At 47.7% G+C, this 21306-nt stretch overlaps 1 long non-coding RNA gene across 1 annotated transcript; it reads right to left on the reverse strand.

Annotated features, from left to right (window-relative positions):
• Positions 1 to 2050: 2050 nt before the first annotated feature.
• LINC01858 (long intergenic non-protein coding RNA 1858) lies at positions 2051 to 8493 on the reverse strand. The gene is made up of 8 exons (NR_110745.1): positions 8401 to 8493; positions 7875 to 8226; positions 7402 to 7546; positions 5693 to 5807; positions 4240 to 4448; positions 3531 to 3637; positions 2710 to 3018; positions 2051 to 2558 (listed from the first exon to the last, which is right to left on the reverse strand). It is a non-coding gene; the product is annotated as a long intergenic non-protein coding RNA 1858 (long non-coding RNA).
• Between the last annotated feature and the right edge of the window lie 12813 nt (positions 8494 to 21306).

A 21306-nucleotide genomic window follows, 5' to 3' on the forward strand; every position in this document is an offset into this window, starting at 1 on the left:
ACAATGTCTAATGTGACATATTTTGCCAAAATATGGCACAAAATACAGGGCACAGGTGGCAGAGTCACATAACAGGGGTGCAGGATCCAGCAATATCTGACAATACCCAAAATTTGTGGGGTCCCAAAAATAGAGGAGAGTCACATCACCTAGGGGCTGGCTCCAGTGATATATCACAATCTCACCTTTGGGCTATGACCAGGTAGAAAAGTCAAGTCACTCAGGTTCTGATTAGAAGTGTATGTCACAATCACATCTGCAGAAAGGTCCAGTGATGAATTAACAGTCCTGCACAGGTCCCAGTTCCAGGTATGAGAGTCCCCACATTCTCTATGTTGGGTCTAAGTATGATAGTGACAATCTCACCAATAAAGTGGATCCATGTATGAGATTCTACATACCTCCTGTGAACTGTATTCGCTGTGGCCTTAAGCCCAGGTATGGGAGTCAACATGTCCCCAGTTGGCTGGGGGACATGTTGACTCCCATACCTGGGCTTAGATAGATAGAATACTCACGGGTTCAGATAGAAGAATTCTCACCTGCCTATGAACTGGATTTAGAAATGAGTCGTCATGCCAGGCTCCGTGGCTCATGCCTGTAATCCCAGCACTTTGGGAGGCTGATGCAGGTGGGTCACCTGAGGTCAGGAGCTTGAGACCAGCCTGGCCAACATGATGAAACCCCATCTCTACTAAAAATACAAAAAATTAGCCGGGCATGGTGGTGGGCGCCTGAAATCCCAGCTACTTCGGAGGCTGAGGCAGGAGAATCGCCTTAACCCAGGAGATGGAGGTTGCAGTGAGCCAAGATAATGCCATTGCACTCCAGCCTGGGCAACAAGAATGAAACTGCATCCCAAAAAAAAGAAAGAAAAAAGTCATAATTCCAACTCTGGCTGGATGTTCATGTATGACAGTCACAATTTCAACTGTGGACCGTGTTCGTGTGTGAGATTCGAGACCTCACCAGTGGGCTCTGGCCACGTGTGAGGGTGACAATTTTAATAGTTGCTGGGGTATGCATATGAGAAACACAATCTCACCTGTGTTCTGAACCCTGGAATGGCAATCTCTGTACAATTAGAGATTTATATAGTATGCAAGAAAGTGGATATTCTCTATAACCTTTGTAAAAGAAGGAGAGCCAGCATTTTACTCATTATTTTAAGCCTAGCAATAAGAAACAGCATCTCTCCTACTGACTGGTTTGAGGTATGAAAGCCACCGCACTCAGCATGGTAAATCATTTCTAAATCCAGTTCATAGCCGGTGAGAATTCTTCTATCTGAACCCGTGAGGTATGAGGTATGAGAGTCATCATCACACCTGTGAGCTGGGCCAAATTATTTTAAAATCTCACCTGTGAATATGGAGAGACAAGAGTCACAACACCTGGGTTTTTGGCCAGGAATACATCTCAATCTTTTCTTACAGCAGGGACCACACAGGAGTGTCACATCAACTGAATACTCAGCCAGGAATATGTTACGACTTTCTCCTGAAAGCAGGACACTGACAGTAGAGTCGTATCACCTGGGTGCTGAGCCCAGCAATAGGTAACAATGCTCTCTGTGGTCAAGGCCCAGGTAGGAGAGACACCTGGTACCTGGGCCTAGTGACAATTCACAATTTTTCCTGTGGGCAGAGTGCAGGCAAAAATGGAGAGTCACATCTCCTAGGTGATTGATGAAGAGATATGTCACAAGGCCCTCTCTAGACAGGGCCCAGGCAGGAGCCTCTGATTTTATAGGTGTTCAGCCTAGTAACATGTCCTAACATGTGAAATATTCAGGGCACGGGCAAAAGAGAAGAGTCACATAACCTGAGTGCAGGGCTTAGCAGTATGTCATAATCCACCCTGTGGGCAGCACCAAGGCTGGAAGAGAAAGTCATATCTTCAAGGTGCAGAGTCAAGCGATATGTCACAATCTTATCTGTGGACTGGGTCAAGGCAGGAAACTCAAATCACTAAGGTGCTTAGCAGATGCACACAATCACACCTGCAGGAAAGTCCAGGAATGAGATTAGAAATTCCATACATGTCCAGGTTCTAGGTATGAGAGTCAACACCTCCTGGATGTTGGATCTATTTATCTATTTTGTTTTTGCTTTTGTTTTTTTGAGATGAAGTCTCACTCTTGTCCCCCAGGCTGGGATGCAATGGTGTGATCTCGGCTCACTGCAACCTCTGCCTCCCAGGTTCAAGCGATTCTCCTGTGTCAGCCTCCCGAGTAGCTGGGATTACAGGTGCCTGCCACCACGCGCGGCTAATTTTTGTATTTTTAGTAGAGATGGGGGTTTCACCATGTTGGCCAGGATGGTCTTGAACTCCTGACCTCCGGTGATCCGCCTGCGTTGGCCTTTCAAAGTGCTGGGATTACAGGCGTGAGCCACTGCGCCCAGCCTTGGATGTTGGATCTAAGTGTGTGAGTCACAGTCTCAATGGTTGACAGAATTTTTGCAAGACAGCCACAGTTTATTCTGCAGACTTGTCCTTTCAGTGCAGTTACAGCCTCACATGTGTGCTGAATCTTGGTCTGAGAGTCACTAGCCCACCTGTGGAGCAGATCCACATATGAGAGTCAATTCTCTAACTTTTGACAGCCTCCATGTGTGATATTTAGAACCTCAACAGTGGGATGTATTTTTGTGGAGAATGACAATCTTTACTGTTGCCTGGGTGTACATTTGAGAAACACTATCTCACCTGTGTGCTGTGTTCTCTTATGACACTCTCTGTGTCACCTGAAGGCTTTATACAATATGCAAGAATGGTGATCCTCTGTGACCTTCATACAGGAAGGAGATCCAGAGTCTTCCCTGTGGTTCTACGTCCAGATATGACAGTCAACATCTCTCCAATTGGTTGAGTCCAGATAGGAGAGTCCTCACCTTCCTACAAGCTGGGTTTAGAAATGAGTCACCATCCCAACTGTGGCCAGATGTTCACTTATGACAGTGAAAATTCCAACTGTGAACGGCATTCACGTGTGATTCAGGACCTCACCAGTGGGCTCTGTCCATGTGTGAGGATAACAATTCTGAAGGTTAGTGGGGTCTGCATAGGACAAACATAATCTCACCTGTGTGCTGGGTCTTGTTATGACATTCTCTGTAACATACTAGGTCTTTATAGATGTGAGAAATTGGTAATTCTCTATGACTTTTGTACAGAAAAAAGACTTTGTTATTTTCCTAAGCCTACCTAGGGGCAACATTATCTCTCCTATTGCCACCTTCGAGGTATGACAGTCATCATTACATCTTTGTTCTTGGCCACAATATATGTGGGTAAAGAGCAAGCATAAGAGTGACATTAACTGTGTGCTGGACCAGGGGTATGTCACAATCTTCCCTGAGGGCATGGACCAGGAAGGAGAGTCACATCACGGGGCACTCAGCCAAGGATGTTACAATTTCCTCCTAAAAGCAGGACACAGGCAGAAGAGTAAGATCACCTGGATGCTGGGCCAGGATTTAGTCACAAGGCTCACTGTGGGTGAGGCCCAGAGAGGACAGACACAATACCTGGTTGCTGGGCCTAATGATTGTCACAATCTTCCGAGTGGGCAGAATGCAGAAGTAGACAGTTTCATCTCCTGGGTGATGGATACAGAAATATGTCACAAGGCCCCCTGTAGGAAGGGCTCAGTCAGAAACCTTCCAACCCCTAGGTATTTGTTCTAATGATATGTCACAACATCCAAAATATGAAGATCTCAGGCAAATGAGGAGAGTCATATCGCCTAGGTGCTGGACCCAGTGATCTGTCACAATCTTTTCTTTTGGCAGGCCTCAAGCAGAAGGGAAGAGTCACACCACCCAGGTAATAAATACAAAGATGTGTTTAATATATCTGTGGGAGGGCCCATCACCTCAGTGTTGGACACAGAGATGTGTTGCAATACACAACGTATACAGGGCCCAGGCAGCAGAGGAGAGTCACATCACCTAGGTTCTCAGTTCAGCAATATTTCACAATACCCCCTGAGGAGAAGGCCTAGGCAAAAATGTCATATTATCTAGGTAAAAGGCTAGGGATATGTCACAATGCCTTCTGTGGGTAGGGCTCATAAACAAGAGGAAAGACATAACCTAGATATGGGGCTCAGCTTTATGTTCCAATCACCCCACTGAAAAGGGCCCAAGAATGAAAGAAGAGTCATATCACAATTCCCACTGTAGACAAACCCCAGAAGAGGAGAGTCACATCATGTAGAAAAAAGAAGGCATTTACCTGGGCTTTGCCCATAGGAGAAATTGCAATGGGTCAAGAGATATGTTACAATGCTTCCTGTGGTCAGGGTTCAGGCAGAAAACTCACATAATCTTGGTGCTGGACCCAGCAGTATGTTTCAGTGTTTTCTAAGGGCACAGCCAGAGCAAAGAAGTAACATCACCTTAGGGTTAGATGCCACAATCTCATTTGTGGGCAGAAAGTACCCCCTGTGAGTAGAGAAAAGGGAGGAAAAAAAGGCACATTCCCTCAGTGATTGGTGAAGATATATATTACAATGACTTCTGTAGACAGAGTCCAGAATGAAGTTACATCACCTGAGTGTTGGACTCAGCCATGTGTCACAATAACCCATGTGGAAAGGACACAAGTAAGAGAGTCACATAACCTAGGCCTAACAATATGTTACAGTACACCTGTGGGCAGCATCAAGAAGAGGAGACTCACATCACCTGGGTGCATGGCCCAGTGATATATCACAATGCCCCCTGTGGGTTGTATCAAGGCAAAATAGAGTGACATTACCAAGGGTCTGGGTCCCATGATATGTCACTGTGAGCTGGGCCCAGGTGAGAGAGTCAAATAACTCAGATGCTGGGCAGAGTCACATGTCACAATCAGACCTGTAAGAAGGTACTGTGGTGACATTAAAAATGACATTGTCAGCCAGGTGCAGTGGCTCACACTTGTAATCCCAGCACTTTGGGAGGCTGAGGCAGGTGGATCACCTGAGGTTAGGAGTTCGAGACCATCCTGGCCAACACGGCAAAACCCCGTCTCTATCAAAAATACAAAAATTAGCTGGATGTGGTGGTGTGTGCCTGCAGTCCCAGCTACTAGGGAGGCTGAAGCAGGTGAATCACTTGAACCTGGGAGGTGGAAGTTGCACTGAGCCAAGATCGTGCCACTGCACTCCAGGTTGGGTGGCAGAGCAAGACTCCGTCTCAAAAAAAAAAAAAAAAAAAAAAAGAAAGGGCTAGGCACGGTGTTTCATGCCTGTAATCCCAGCATTTGAGAGGCCGAGGCGGGTGGATCATGAAATCAGGAGTTCAAGACCAGCCTGCCCAAGATGGTGAAACCTCATCTCTACTAAAAATCCATAAAAATTTGCCTGGCGTGGTGGCATGCACCTATAATTCCAGCTACTTGGGAGGCTGAGGCAGAGAATCACTTGAACCCAGGAGGTGGAGTTTGCAGTGAGCCGAGATTGTGCCACCGCACTCCAGACTGGGCAACAGAGCAAGACTCCATCTCAAAAGAAAAAAATATGACATTGTCTTGAATCAAGGAATGAGAGTCAACACCTCCTACATGTTGGGTTTAAGTACAAGAAATCACAATCTCAGTGGTGGACTGGATTTGCCAATGAGCCTCAATTTCTCTTGCAAACTCTGTGCCTTAGTGAAGTTACAGCCACAAAGGTGTGCTGAATCTTGGTTAAAGAGTTACCAACCTGGCCAGGTGCGATGGCTTACGCCTGTAATTGCAGCACTTTGGGAGGCCAAGGCGGGCAGATCACGAGGTCAGGAGATTGAGACCATCCTGACTAACACGGTGAAACCCTGCCTCTATTAAAAATACAAAAAATTAGCTGGGCGTGGTAGCAGGCACCTGTAGTCCCAGCTACTTGGGAGGCTGAGGCAGGAGAATGGCATGAACCCGGGAGGCGGAGCTTGCAGTGAGCCGAGATTGGGCCACTGCACTCCAGCCTGGGCGACAGAGCAAGACTCTGTCTCAAAAAAAAAAGTCATCAACCCAACTGTGGACAGTATCCATGAGTGAGAGTCCATTTTCCAACATTCAATTGCCTCCAAATGTGAAATTCAGAACCTCAGAAGTGGGTTGCGTTCATTTAAGTGAATGATTTGCTGTTGGCTAGGTGTGAATATGAGTGTCACAATCTCACCTGTGTGCTTGTCCCTGTCAGGACACACTCTGTACCACTTGAGGGCTTTATATGGTATGCATGAGTTGCAATCTGCTCTGAGACTTTTGTGCTCCTATGGACCCATGATCTTATGTGGCCCTAAGTCTAGGTATGAGCGTCAACATCTCTCCAATTGGCTGGGTCCAGAGAGGAGAGTCCTCACCTGCCTATGAGCTGGGTTTAGAAATGAGTCACCATCTCAACTGTGGCCAGATGTTCACATATGATAGTCACAATTTCAACTATGTACTGCATCTGCGCGTGAGAATCATGAACTCATCAGTGGGTTCTGTCTGTGTGTGAGAGTGGTAATTCTAAAAATTGGCAGAGTGTGCTTACAAGAAACACAATCTAACCTGTTTGCTATGTCCTCATCACCCTCTGTACCATCCAAGAGCTTTATACAATATATGAGAGAGTAGTAATTATTTATAACCTTCATATAGAGAGGAGACCCAGGATTTTACCCCTTTTTCTAAGCCTAGCTGTGAGAGACAGTATCTCTTCAATTGGCTAGTACAAAGTCTTAGAGTCATCATCACACCTGTGATCTGGGCCAAGATATATGTTACCAACCAACCTGTTAGCAGAAAGCATCCAGGAGAATCACATCTCCTGGGTGCTGGACCAATGATATAAAAAATCCTTCCCTGAGGGCAGTGACCAGGCAGGAGAATCACATCACCTGGTTTCTCAACTAGTGATAGGTTACCATTTCTTCCTGAAAGTAATGCACATGGAGGAGACACACATCACCTGGTGGCTGGACCCTGCAATATGTCACAATCTTTCCTGTGGGCAGGTAGAAAAGGAGTCACATCTTTTATGTAATGGATGCAGATAAATGTCACAAAAACCCTTGCAGACAGGGCTGAGGCAGGAGCCTCCCATCTTTCAGGTGTTTGGCCCAGTTAAATGTCACAATACCCAAAAATGTGGTTCGCAGGCAGAAGAGAAGAGTCACATTGCCTAAGTGCTAGTTCCAGTGATATGTCTCAATCTTTCCCTTTGGCAGGGTCCAGGGTGAAGAGAGGATTCACACAGCCTAAGTGATGAAGGAAAATATATGTCCTAATATGCCCAGGAGCAGGGCCTATATGAGACAGTTGCATCAGCTGTATGTTGAACCCAGTGATATGTCAAAACATACAATTTATGCAGGGCCCAGGCAGAAGAGAGTGTCATAACCTAGGTGTCAGTCCCAGTGATACATCACATACATCACAATGCCTTACTTTTTGTTGTTGTTTTTTTTGTTTTGTTTTGGCGAAGTCTCACTCTGTCACCACGGCAACCTCCACCTCTTAGGTTCAGCGTCCAGGGATATGTCCCAATCCCTCTTTTTGTCAAGGCCCAGCCATAAGTAGAGAGTAGCATCACCTGGGTGATGAAAGAAAAGATATGTCATCATACCCCTGCAGGCAAAGCCCATGCAGGAGAGTCACATCACCTAGGTGTGGGGCCCAACGATATATTAAAATCTCTTCTTGGGTATATCCCAAGCAGTAGAGGAGAGTCACATCACCTAGGTTCTCAGTCCAGCAATATGTCACAAGGCCCCTTGAGGGGAAGGCCCAGGCAGGAGAGTCACATCACTTAGGTTAGGGGCCAAGAGATGTGTCACAATGTTCCCTGTAGGAAGGGCTCAAGAAGAAGAGGAGAGTAACATGACCTAGGGGCTTGGTCAAGTTATGTGTCACAATCATACCTGTGAGCAGGGTCTAGGCATGAGAGGAGAGTCACATCAAGTAAGTACTGGGCCACGTACATGATGTATCACAATAACCCATATAGACAGGTCCCAGGAAGATATCACCTAGGTGCTAGGTCCAGAAATGCATCACAATGTCTCTCATGGGCAAACACCAGGAAAAAAAGGGAAGGGGATAACATGAACAATCTGATGGGCCAAGAGATATGTCACAGTGCCCACTGTGGGCAGGGTCCAGCCAGGAGACGCACATCACCTTGGTGTTGGACCCAGGAATATGTCATAATGCCTTCTGAGGGCAGGCCCAAGGTGCCCAGCAACATGTTACAATCTCTTCTGCAGGCAGAACCTAGAAAGAAGAGTTGAGTCACACCAGCTAGGTACTGGGCTCAGCAATATGTCACATTAGTTTTTGTGAGAAGGAACTAGGCAGGAGAAGAAAGTCACATCACCTGGGTGATGAGCAAAGAGATATGTGACAATGACTCCTATAGGCAGAACCCAAACAAATTAGTTACATCACCTAGGTTTTGGACCCAGCAACATGTCACAATGGCCCATGTTGGCAGAGCACAGGCAAGAGAGTCACATAACTTGTAGGGGACAGCAGCGATATGTCACAATGCTCACTGTGGACAGTACCAAGGCAGAAAACAGAACTTCCATCATCTGGGTGCTAGGCCCAGTGATATGTCACAATGTCCCATGTGAAAGCACAGAAGCAAGAGAATACAGTCACATCACCTAGTTTCTGGTCCAGCGATATGTCACAATTTCATCTGTGGGCTAAATCCAGGCAGGAGAGTAAACTATACAGAGGCATATGGCACAATCACCCTTGCGTATACAGAGGCATATGGCACAATCGTGCTTGCAGGAAGGTCCACAGATGAGATCAACAATTCTGTACATATCCTGCTTCTGTGGGCACCAGGAAGACAGGAGAGGAGACTCACATTACCTGGGAGCAAGGCTCTGAGATATGTTACAATGTCCTTTTTGGGTAGCACCAAAGCAGGAGAATAGAGTTACGTCACCTAGGTGCTGGGTCCAGCAGTGTGGCACAATCCTATCTGTAGGCTGTGCTGGTGCTAAAGAGTCACATTACTCAGGTGCAAGGCAGAGGTGTATGTCAAAATCACACCTGCAGGAAGGACAGGGGATGAGATGAACAATACTGTACATATCCCGATTCTAGGTATGAGAGTCAACACCTCCTGTATGTTGGTTCTAAGTACACTAGTCACAGTCTCTGAAATGAACTGAATCAGTGCATGAGAAACTCAGTCCCTCTTACCACTGTGCCTCCTTAGTGGAATCACAGCCTCACAGGTGGGTCAAATTTTAGTCTGAAAGTCACCAACTTACCTTTGAACTGGATCCACATATGAGAGTAAATTTTCCACCTTGCAACTGCATCTGTGTGAGATTCAGAACCTCAACAGTAGGCTGTGTTCATGTGAGAAGATGACAACATTTACTGTCGGCTGGGTGTACATATGAGTGTCAAAATCTCAACTGTACTTTGGGCCCAGTTAGAACATGCTCTGTACCAGCCAAGTGTTTTATAAGGTATGCATAAGAGTCACAGTCCTTTGTGACTGGGAGACATTCGTGCTGGTTTGGACTCATGATTGTGCCTGTGGCTCTATGCCCAGTTATAAGAGTTAACTTCTCTGCAATGGCTCAGTCCAGATATAAGAGTTGTCCCCTGCCTATAAGCTTGGCTTACTAAGGAGTCACCACCTCTGCTGTTGCCTGATGTTCACATACGACAGTCACAATTTCAACTCTGCACTGCATCCACCTGTAAGATTTAAGACCTCACCAGTGGGCTCTGTCCATGGATGAGAGTGACAATCTTTTTTATTTTTATTTTTATTTTTATTTTTATTTTTGAGACAGAGTCTTGCTGCGTCACCCAGGCTGGAGTGCAGTGGCAAGACCTTGGCTCACTGCAAACTCCACCTCCCAGGTTCAGCCAATTCTCCTGCTTCAGCCTCCGGAGTAGCTGGGATTACAGGTGCTCACCACCACGCCCAGGTAATTTTTGTATTTTAGTAGAGACACGGTTTCACCATGTTGGCCAGGCTGGTCTTGAACTCGTGACCTCAAGTGATCCACCCACCTCGGCCTCCCAAAGTGATGGGATTACAGGCATGAGCCACCACCCCGGCCGACGGTCTTAACAATTGGCAAAGCGTGCATACAAAAAACACAATTGCACCTGTTTGCTGGGCCCTGTTATGACACTATATTACCCGAGGGTTTATACAATATGTGAGAGAGTGTAATTTTCTCTGACCATCCTAAAGAGGAGAGCCAGGATTTTATCCATTTTCCTAAGCCTAGCTATGAGAAACAGCATCTCTTCTATTGGCTAGTTTGAGGCATGAGAGTCAACATCGCACCTATGATCTAAACAAAGATATATGTCACAGTCTCACGTGTGGATAGGGCATGCACAGGAGAGTTACGTCATCTGGGTGCTGGGCCAGGGATATGTCACAATCTTCCCTGAGAACAGGAATCAGGCAGAAGTGTTATCACCTGGGTGGTTGGTCAGAGATACGTTACAATTTCCTCCTGAAAGCAGGGCACACTCAGTAGAGTCACATCATTTGGGTTCTAGGCCCAGTGATATGTCACAATGCTCCCTGTGAGCAAAGCTCAGGCAGGAGAAACACATCACCTGATTTCTGGGCCAAAAGATATGTCACAATCTCTCCTATGAGCAAAGCCTTGGTATAAAAAAAGAGTCACATCAAACAGTTGATGCTCCCAAAGATATGCCACAATGTTCTCTGTTATCAGGGTTCATACAAACAACCCATGTCACCTTGTTGCTGGGCCCAGCAATATGTCACAATGCCTTTTGAGGTCCAGGCCAAGACAAAACAGTAATGTCACATTGTTGTTAAGCTCCACAAGATGTCTTAATATCTCTCGCAAGCAGAACTTATGAAGAGTCACATTTGTTTGGCACTGGGACAAGTGAGATGTCAAAATTCCCCATGTGAGCAGGGACCAGGTAGGAAATGAGAGTCACATCATCTGGGTGACGGGTGAAGAGATATGTCATGATGTTCTAGAACCTAGGCAGTAGAATTACATTACCAGGTGTTGGACCCAGCAATATGTCACAATTGCTTATGTGGTCGGGGCACAGGCATGACAGTCATATAACCTGGGTGTAGGCCCAGAGATATGTCACAATGCCCCCTATGGGCAGTGCCAAGGCAGGAGAGGAGACTCACATCACCTAAGTGCAGGGCCCAGCGATATGTCACAATGTCCTCTGCAAGCAGCACCAATGCATAAGAATAGAGTCATATCTCAGATCTGGGTTCAGCAATATTCACTATCCCATCTGTGGGCTGGTCCCAGGGAAGAGAGTCAGATTACTCAGGTGCTGGGGAGAGGAAAATGTCACAGTTAAATCTGCAGGAAGGTCCAGGGATGATACTAGCAATCCCATACATGTCATGATTTTAGGTATAGGAGGTTAACCCCTTCTATATGTTGTGTCTAAGAACAGGAGTTATAATCTCAACGGTGGACTAAAATTGTGCCTGAGCGCCTCAACTCCTCCTGTGGACTTTGTCTAATTAGTGAAGTCACAGCCTCATAGGTGTGCTGAATCTTGCTCTGAGTGTCATCAACTCACCTGTGGACTGGATCCACATCTGAGAGTCAAGTTTCCGACCTTTGACTGCCTATGGGTGTGAGATTCAGAACCTCAAAAGTGAGCTGTGTTCCTTTTTTTTTTTTTTTTTTTGAGACGGAGTCTCGCTCTGTAGCCCAGGCTGGAGTGCAGTGGCACGATCTCGGCTCACTGCAACCTCCGCCACCCGGGTTCATGCCATTCTCCTGCCTCAGCCTCCCGAGCAGCTGGGACTACAGGCGTCCACCACCATGCCCAGCTAATTTTTTGTATTTTTAGTAGAGACGGGGTTTCACTGTGTTAGCCAGGATGGTCTCAATCTCCTGACCTCGTGATCCACCCACCTCGGCCTCCCAAAGTCCTGGGATTACAGGCGTGAGCCACCGCATCCGGCCAAAAGTGAGCTGTGTTCATTTGAGAAAATGATGATGTATACTGTTGGGAGGGTGTGCATACAACTATCACAATCTCCTGTGTTCTGGGCCTTGTTAATACCCTCTTTAAAATACCCCAAAGCTTTATACACTATGAATGAGAATGACAATTAACTCTGAGATCATGTTTGTAAACACCCATGACCATACCTGTGGCCCTAAGCCCAGATATGAGTGCCATCTCTCCTATTGGCTGGGTCCAGACAGTAGAGTCCTCATCTGCTTATGTTCTGGGTTTAGAAATGTGTCACCATTCCAACTGTAGCTGGAGGCTCACATATGACAGCCACAATTCCAAGTGTGGACTGTGTTTGCATGGGAAATTCAAGACCTCGGCAATGGGCTCTTTCCATGTGTGACGGTGATAATCCTAATGGTTGGTGAGGTGCACATATGAGAAACACAATTTCATCTGTTTGCCGTGCCCTGTGATGACACTTTCTGTAACACCTGAAGGCATTATATGATAGGTAGGTGGGTGGCAATCCTTTATAACCTTCATACAAAGAGGAGACCCAGAATGTCGTCCATTTTTCTAAGTCGAGCTATGACAGTATTTCTTCTAATAGCTCATTTGACGTATGAGAGTCATCATTGCACTTGTAAGCTGACTACAGTATATGTCACAATTTTACCTGTAGGTAGGGAGCTAGCAGGAGAGTCACATCACCTGGATTTCAGCCAAGGTATCTCACAATCTTCCCTGAGGGAGGGAGCCAAGCAGGAGTGTCACATCACCTGGGTGCTCAGCCAGGGATATGTTACAATTCTCTCCTGAAAGCACAGCACAGGCAACAGACTCACATCACCTGGGTGCTGAGCTCAGCACTATGTTACAATGCTCCCTGGGGACAAGACAGAGGCAGAAGAGCCACATCACCTGGTGTCTGCTTCCAGGGATATGTCACAATCTTTCCTGTGCAGGCCAGGGTACCGGCAAATATGAAATGTCACACATTCTAGGTCATGGATGCAGATATATGTCACAAGGTCCCTGTGGGCAGAGCCCAGGCAGGAGCATGCAATCTCATAGGTTTTGGACCTAGTAACGTTTTACAATATCCAAAATATGCGAAGCCCAGGCAAAACAAGAGAGTCACATCACCTAGGTGCTGGGTTCAGTGATTTGCCACAATTCCCCCTTTTGGCAGGGTCTAGTCAAAAGAGGAGAATTATATCACCTGGGTGATGAATGAAAAGATATGTTATAACATCTCTGTAAGCAGGGCCCATGCAGGAGATTCACATCACCAAGGTGTTAGAAACAATCACATGTCACAATACGCAATGTACAGGAGGAACCAGGCAGGAGAGGAGAGTCACATCCCCTAGGTGTTGGACCCAGCAATATATTACAATCCCTTCTTGGGAAAAGCCCAGGAAGTAGAGGAAAGTCACATTACCTGGGTACTAGGCCCAGTGATATGTCTCAATGTCCTCTGTGAAAAGCACTAAGGCAAGAGAAGACTCACATCACCTAAATGCTGGGTCCAGCAATGTGGCACAATCCCATCTGTACACTGGGCCCAGGCAGAAGAGTCAAATCACTCAGGTGCTGGGCAGAGGTGTATGTCACAATCACATCTGCATGAAGGTCAAGGTATGAGATTAACAATTTAACACATTTTCTAGATCTAGGTATGACATATAACACCTCCTGGATGTTGGGTCTAAGAACATGAGTCACAATCTCAATGATGGTCTGGATCTGTGTGAGAACCTCAATCCCTCCTGCAAACTGTGTCCCCTTAGTGGAGTCACAGACTCACAGGTGTGCTGGATCCTGGTCTGAGAGACACCTCCCTTATGAAAGATAGTTACACATGTGATTTGATTTTTCAAGTATGTCTGCCTCTGGGTGAGATTCAGAATCTCAACAGTGAGCTGTGTTTATGTGGAAGGATGACAGTCTTTACTCTTGGCAGGCTATGCATATGAGTGTCACAACCTCCCCTGTGTGCTGAGTTCTGTTAGGACATTCTTTGTACCTCTTGACAACTTTACACAGTATGTGAGAGAGTGTTAATTCTTTATGATCTTCATACAAAGAGGAGACCCAAGACATTACTCATTTTCCTAATCCTGGCTATGAGAGACAGTATGTCTGCTATTGGTTACTTTGAGGTATGAGAGTCATCATTGCACCTGTAAGCTGGGCCAAGATATGCATCACAATCCCACCAGTGAAGAGGGACTGAGCAGTAGAGTCACATCACCTGGGTTTGGGGGCAGTGATATGTCACAAACTTCTCTGAGGGCAGAGACCAGGCAGCAGTGTCACATCATCTGGGTGCTGGGCCCAGTGATATGTTAAAATGTTCTTTGTGGTCAAGGCCCAAGCAGGAAAAACACATCACCTGATTGCTGAGACCAATGATTTGTCACAGCCCTCCCAGTGGTCAGGGTGCAGGCAGAAGAGGGGAGTTAAATCTCCTAGATTACGGATGCAGAGATATGTCACAAGGTCCCCTATGTGCTGGGCCCAGGCAGGAGCGTTCCATCCCATGGCTGTTGAACTCAGTGAAATGTCACTATACCCAAAAGGTGCCAGGAACAGGGAAAATAAAAGGGTCACATCACCTAGGTGATGAAAAAGATATGTCGTAATACTGTGGGCAGTTCCCATGTCATAAAGTCACATCACCTTGGTGTTGAATCCAGGCATATGTCACAATACACAAAGCATGCAGGCCTTAAGCAGAAGAGGAGAGTCACATCACCTAGGCGGTGGGCCCAGCAATACATCACAATTCCTGCTTGGACAAAGCCCAATCCATAGAGGAGAGTCACATCACCTATGTACTGGGCTCAGCAATATGTCACACTGTCCTTTGTGGGGAGGGCCCATGCAAGAGAGTCACATCACCTAAATGATGGGCTCAAAAATATGTCAAAATGCCCTCTGTGGGTAGGGCTCAGAAAAAAAAGAAAATCGCATAACCCAGGGGCTGGGTCCAGCTATATGTAATAAACACCCTAGTCGGCAGGGCCCATGCATGAGAGAAGAGTCACATCACCTAGGTGCTGGGTTCAGTGCACCATACTGAGACCTTGTCTCTACTAAAGTAACAATACTTTTTTGGCATGGCCCAGGCAGAAGAGGAGTGTCACATCACCTAGGTGATTAATAGAAAAATATTTTATAATACCTCTATGGGCAGGGCCCATGCAGGAGAGTTGTGTTATCCAGGTGTTGAAGCCAGTGACATGTCTCAATACACAACGTATGTAGGTCCCAGGCTGGAGAGGAGAGTCACCTCATCTAGGTTCTTGACAGAGTGATATGACACAATCCCTTTTTGGGTAGAGACCAAACAGTAGAGAATAGTCACATCACCTAGATGCTGGGCTCATCAATATGTTACAATACCCCGAGAAGAGGGTCCAAACAAAAGAGTTATATCATCTAATTGAGGGTCTCAGAGATATGACACAATGCCCCCTGTGGGTAGGGCTCAGGAAGAAGTGTGCAGTCACATAACCTTGAGGCTGGGCCCAGCTACATGTCAAAATCACCCCAGTGGGCAAGGCCCAGGCATAAGGACAGAGTCACTTCATGTAAGTTCTGGGCCAAGCAATATGTCACATTCCCCACTGTGGACAGGTCCCAGGAAAAAGAGAGTCATATAATCTCAGTGATCAGCCAAGATATATGTTACAGTGACTTCTGTGAGCCGGAATAAGAGTCATATTACCTGTGTGCTGAACTCATCAATAAGTCACTCTCTCTTCGGTGGGCAAGCCCCAGGCAGGAGAGGGGAGACATCACCTCGGTGCTGGGCCCAAAGTTATGTCACAATCTCTTTTTGGGCAACATCTAAGAGAGGAGAGACACATAATATAGTCAAAGGGCCCAGAGATATGTCACAATGCACCTTGTAGGCAGGGTCCAGGCAGGAGACTCACATCACATTGGTGCTGGGCCCAGCAATATACCACCATGCCTTCTGAGGGCAGTGCCAAGGCAAAAGAGTAATGTCACCTGGCCGGGTGCGGTGGCTCACACCTGTAAACCCAGCGCTTTGGTAGGCTGAGAGGGGCTGGATCACCTAAGTTCGGGTGTTCGAGACCAGCCTGACCAACATGCAGAAACGTCATCTTTACTAAAAATACAAAAACAAACAAACCAACAAACCAACACAATATCACCTTAGTATTAGGCTCACTGACATGTCACAATATCCCCTGCAAGCAGAACCTAGGACAAGGAGGAGAGACATGTTAGCTAGGTGTGCACCCAGTGATATGTCACAATCTCTTCTGTGATCGGGGCCAGGCAGGAGAGAGAGCCGCATTACCTGTGTGATGGGTGCAGGTATATGACACAATGTCCTCTGTAGGCAGGGCCTAGGCAGTAGAGTTATATCACCTGGGTGTTGGACCCAGCAATATGTCACAATGACCCACATGCACAGGGCACAGGCAGGAGAGTCACATAACGTATGTGTGGGACCCAGCGATATGACACAATGCCCCCCGTGGAAGAACCAAGGCAGGAGAGAAGATTCACACCACCTGGGTACAAGACCCAGTGATGTCACAATGTCCCCTGTGTGCAGTGCCAAGGCAGTAGAATAATCACATCACCTCAGTGTTGGGTCCAGTGATATGTCACAATCTCTTCTGTGGGCTGGGCCAGGGCTGGAGCACCAACTCACTCTGGTGCTGGGTAAAGTCATATGTCATAATCACACTGTCAGGAATGTTCAGCGGTGAGATTATGCATCTGGAGTGGGAAGAAGCAACACATCAAAAATATGACCAGACCATCCACGGCGGCTCATGCCTGTAATCCCAGCACATTGGGAGGCTAAGGTGGGAGGATACGTGGAGCCCAGGAGTTCAAGACTACCCTGGGGGCTATATGGCGAGACATCTTTATTAAAAAATGATAATTAAAGTTTAAAAAGTAATATATATAACCACAGCCTGGACAACATACTGAGACCATGTCTCTACTAAAAAAAATAGATAGATAGATAGATAGATAGATAGATGATAGATAGATAGGTAGATAGATAGAGCCAGGCACGGTGGCTCACGCCTGTAATTCCAGCACTTTGGGGGCCAAGGCCTCACTCAAAAAGAAAAAAAAAAGAAGAAAAAAGAAATCTAAAACAACAGCAACTTCAGTGTGCAGGAAGGAGCAAGAGAAAGACAAAAGAAACAGAAAAAGAAAGAAATAAATAAAAATAAAACAGCGGCCAGGCGCGGTGGCTCACGCCTGTAATCTCAGCACTTCGGGAGGCCAACGCGGGCTGATCACCTGAGGTCGGGAGTTCGACACCAGCCTGACCAACATGGAGAAACCTCGTCTCTGCTAAAAATACAAAATTAGCCAAGTGTGGTGGCACATGCCTGTAATCCCAGCTACTCGGGAGGCTGAGGCCCGAGAACCGCTTGAACCCAAAAGGCGGAGGTTGCAGTGAGCCGAGATCGCGACTTTGCACTCCAGCCTGGGTAACAAGAGCAAAACTCCGTCTCAACAAGCAAACAAACAAAAAACAGCAACTCAATGTACTGTGGAAACAAACTTGAAGTGGGGCTAGGAAAACAAAAAAAAGAAAACAAAAACAGAAAGATCCCCTGAGCCTCAGCTACTCGGAGGCCGAAAAGAAAGGATTGCCTGGGTGAGCCCGGGAAGGTGGAGGTCGCAGTGAGCAGTAATCGCACCCTCTACTGGATCTTAGCGGTTCTGCAGCCGAGGAGAGCCATCTGGTCCGTCTTAAATATTTCAAGCTGGTGGCCAAGTCCTACACTCTTGGCCGACATCTGGTGGACCCGGCGGCCGGACTGAGAAGCCAGCAGGTAGAGGCCCAGCGGATCCACCCTACAGGCCAAGGGTGGCGCTCGCGGCCTGAAGCTGTTTTTCTGGCATCTAAGTCGCCAACCTTCCTTCCCACCGCGCCCCCAACCCCCATCTGCTGATCGATGTGGGCGGTGGAAAGAGGAGCAAGGGCTCAAGCGCAGGGACTGCCCCCCCGGTGACCATCCCACCCGCGGGGTGGGAGAGGGCAGGGACCCAGACTGCCACCCCCGGGCCCTCACAGCCATACCTGGGATGGGGCCTGCCGGGCCACACCCCCGGACACCTGCAACTGAACCATCCATACCATGCTTCCCCAGCCCTATCCCAGCCGGTGGATCGAGCTGCCACCACCCCCACTCCCAGGAATGAGGGGAGGAGCCAGGAACCAGAGGGGTGGGAGGCCAAGCAGGGGAGCCCCCCAACCCAAGGCACCCACCACGCAGCACGCCGTCCCTTTCGGCGCTCGGAAAGCCCTCGGGCGAACCCCTCCCGAGCCCACCCCTCCCGGGACCTCAGAAGATGGCTCAGGACGGCCCCTGACTCTCCATGGGGACTTGGGAATAAACTCGGCAGGCGCCTCAGACAGTCGGGACCAGCGTGGGCGTCCCTGGCCCCCTGCGTCAGGCCTGGTGGGTCCTGCGGGTCGGGCCTCGGCAGTTGCAGTGCGCTTGGGATCAGCCGGGGCAGCCCCACACTCGGCTCGGGCTGGGAGCGCGGGGACAGCCTCCCAAGCCACAGCCCTGCGCGCCCGACCTCCGACTCACAAGGGACGCGCCAGAGCTCTGGTCCCATTGAGACAGTTCAGCTGAAGGCTGCGGGCCTTCCCGAGCTCCGCCCAGCTCACAGCGGGGACGGTCCCTCCCTCGGCAGCTGCCGCTGGAGCTCCGGAGGACAAGAGAACTTAGAGAGGTGGCCTCAGTGGAGCCCGACAACCAGCGCGAACGTCAACAAGACAGATCGAGATGGCAAGGGCAGCTCGTGGGCGAAATGGATCCACCCGACCCCAGAAATGATCCCCGATACGTGGCTCTGCATAGACCACGACAGAGTCCAGTCAAAGACAACCCGTGGGTGTGGGTGTTTGCAGATGCTTGGAGATGCATCTCAGCGGGAGAAAGAATGACCAGGACTCGGTAGTGGGTGGTTTAGGACACAGGGAGATACAGAATGAGGAGACTGTCCCAGAATCCACACAAAGACGGACAGACGACGAACGGAAGGAAGGAAATAAAACAGAAAAAAAAAAAAGAAAGAGAAGAGAGAGAAAAAAAATGAAGAAAGAGAAAGAAATATCAAAAGAAAAATAGAGAAAATAATGAAAAGAAAAAGGGAAGATGAAAAAGGAAGGAAAAAGGTGGAGAGACACAAAAAGAAAAAGGAAGAAATGAAGGAAAAAAGGAAAGAAGAAAGAGAGAGGGGAAAAAAAGAATACAAAGAAAAAAGAAGAAAATAAAAGAGGGCAGAGCATGGTGGCTCATGCCTGTAATTCCAACACTTTGGGAGGCTGAGGTGGGAGAATCACTTGAGCCTAGGAGGTTGAGACCAGCCCTGACAACATAGTGAGGCCCTGCCTCTACTAAAAGTTAGCCAGGCATGATGCCACATTCCTGTAGTAGGAAGGAAGGAAGGCAGGAGAGGAGGAAAAAAAGGGAGGAAGGTAGGAATGTTGAGAGAAAGGCAGGAAGGAAGACAGGAGGGAATGAAGGAAGTTAGGGACCAGGTTCTACAAGGAGGAAATGTTAAAAAGAAACAGAGAAAAAGAAAGGAAGAGAGAAACACAGGAAGAAAAAGGGAAGGACAGTAAGAAAGAGACAGAAAGGGAGAAATTATGAAAATAGAAAGAAAAGAAAAAAAGTAGAAAGATGAAAATACATCTCTAAAAGAATAATAGGCGGGGCATCGTGGCTCATGCCTGTAATCCTAGCACTTTGGGAAGTCCAGGTGGGTGGCTCATGAAGTCAAGAGATCAGGACCATCCTGGCCAACATGGTGAAACCTCATCTCTACTAAAAATGCAAAAATTTGCTGGGCATCGTGGTGCGTGCCTGCAGTCCCAGCTACTTGGGAGGCTGAGGCAGGAGAATCACACATACACACAAAACCTGCTGCCTCAGGCTTTAAACACACACGTTTTCTGTAATCCAGGCTCATTTGATTGTGAGGGCTGTTGTCAGAAATGTTACTAAGAGAGGAATATGCATAAATTAGATCACATTTAAGGTTATGCTTATAATGCCACTTGAGTGGGAAGCAAGAGAGTGGAGTTACAGGCACCCAGCTGGGGTTTACCCACACCAGGTTGGTTCTTTCTCTTTTTTTTTTTTTTTGAGACAGAGTATCACTCTGTCACTCAGGCTGGAGTGCAGAGGCATGATTTCAGCTCATTGCAACCTCCGCCTCCTGGGTTAGAGCAGTTCTTGTGCCTCAGCCTCCGGAGTAGCCGGAATTAAAGGCACGTGCTACTATGTCCGGTTAATATTTGTATTTTTAGTAGAGACAGGGTTTCATCATATTGACCAGCCTTGCCTTGAACTCCTGACTTCAAGTGATCTGACCGCCTTGGCCTCCCAAAGTGCTGGCATTACAGGTATGAGCCACCGTACCCGGCCAACCAATGCCAGTTTCTAGGCTCATGAGAGTGTGGCACAGGTAAACATCACCTGTCATTGGTGACAGAAGAAAAAAGGCTGGAGGGAAGACCAGGTGGGGGAGAGGTGGTAGGCTGTGGGGCTAGACCCTGGGCATGCTGGACCTGTTAGGTCACTGAACATCTATCTGGCTGGCCACCTGCCCCTTCACGTCAGTTGAGGAAAGGGGATTGGGCAGCATTCTCCATAAGTCCCACTGTGCTGTGAGGATGGAGGAGTGTCTACAAATTGCCATCTTAGGGTAGGTTTTAGTGTGAGCTGGACTCTCTTGGAGAGCCAATGAGATGGGAGGAAGACAGTCCCCCAGGTAAACCTTAGGGACAGAGCCTGTGAAGTAAGAGGGGGTGTGTGGAGGTGGCCTGTCCCTATGAGAAGGGGAGTTTAAAACTATTACAGGCTGGGCACTGTGGCTCACGCCTGTAATCCCAGTACTTTGGGAGACAGAGACGGGTGGATCACTTGAGGTCAGGAGTTCGACACCAGCCTGGCCATGACAGCGAAACCCCAGCTCTACTAAAAATACAAAAATTAGCCAGGCGCTGTGGCACGCGCCTATAGTCCCAGCTACTTGGGAGGCTGAGGCAGGAGAATCCCTTGAACCTGGGAGAGGGAAGTTGCAGTGAGCTGCAATGGCGCCACTGCAGTCCAGCCTGAGCGACAGAGTCTCGCTCTGTCAAAAAAAAAGAAAAAAAAAGAAAGAAAGAAAGAAAAGAAAAAGACATTTGAATTCTAGTATCTGTCAGTTCCTCTGAGCCAACTGGAAAATAGATGCCTTTCACCTTGAAGTTTGTTTTTGCTTGTTTGTTTTTTTGAGACAGAGTCTCGCTCTGTTACTATACTGGAGGGCAGTGGCCTGATCTCAGCTCACTGCAAC

This window comes from Homo sapiens, chromosome 19 (genome assembly GCF_000001405.40).
Source record: "Homo sapiens chromosome 19, GRCh38.p14 Primary Assembly".
Classification (NCBI taxonomy): Eukaryota; Metazoa; Chordata; class Mammalia; order Primates; family Hominidae; genus Homo; species Homo sapiens.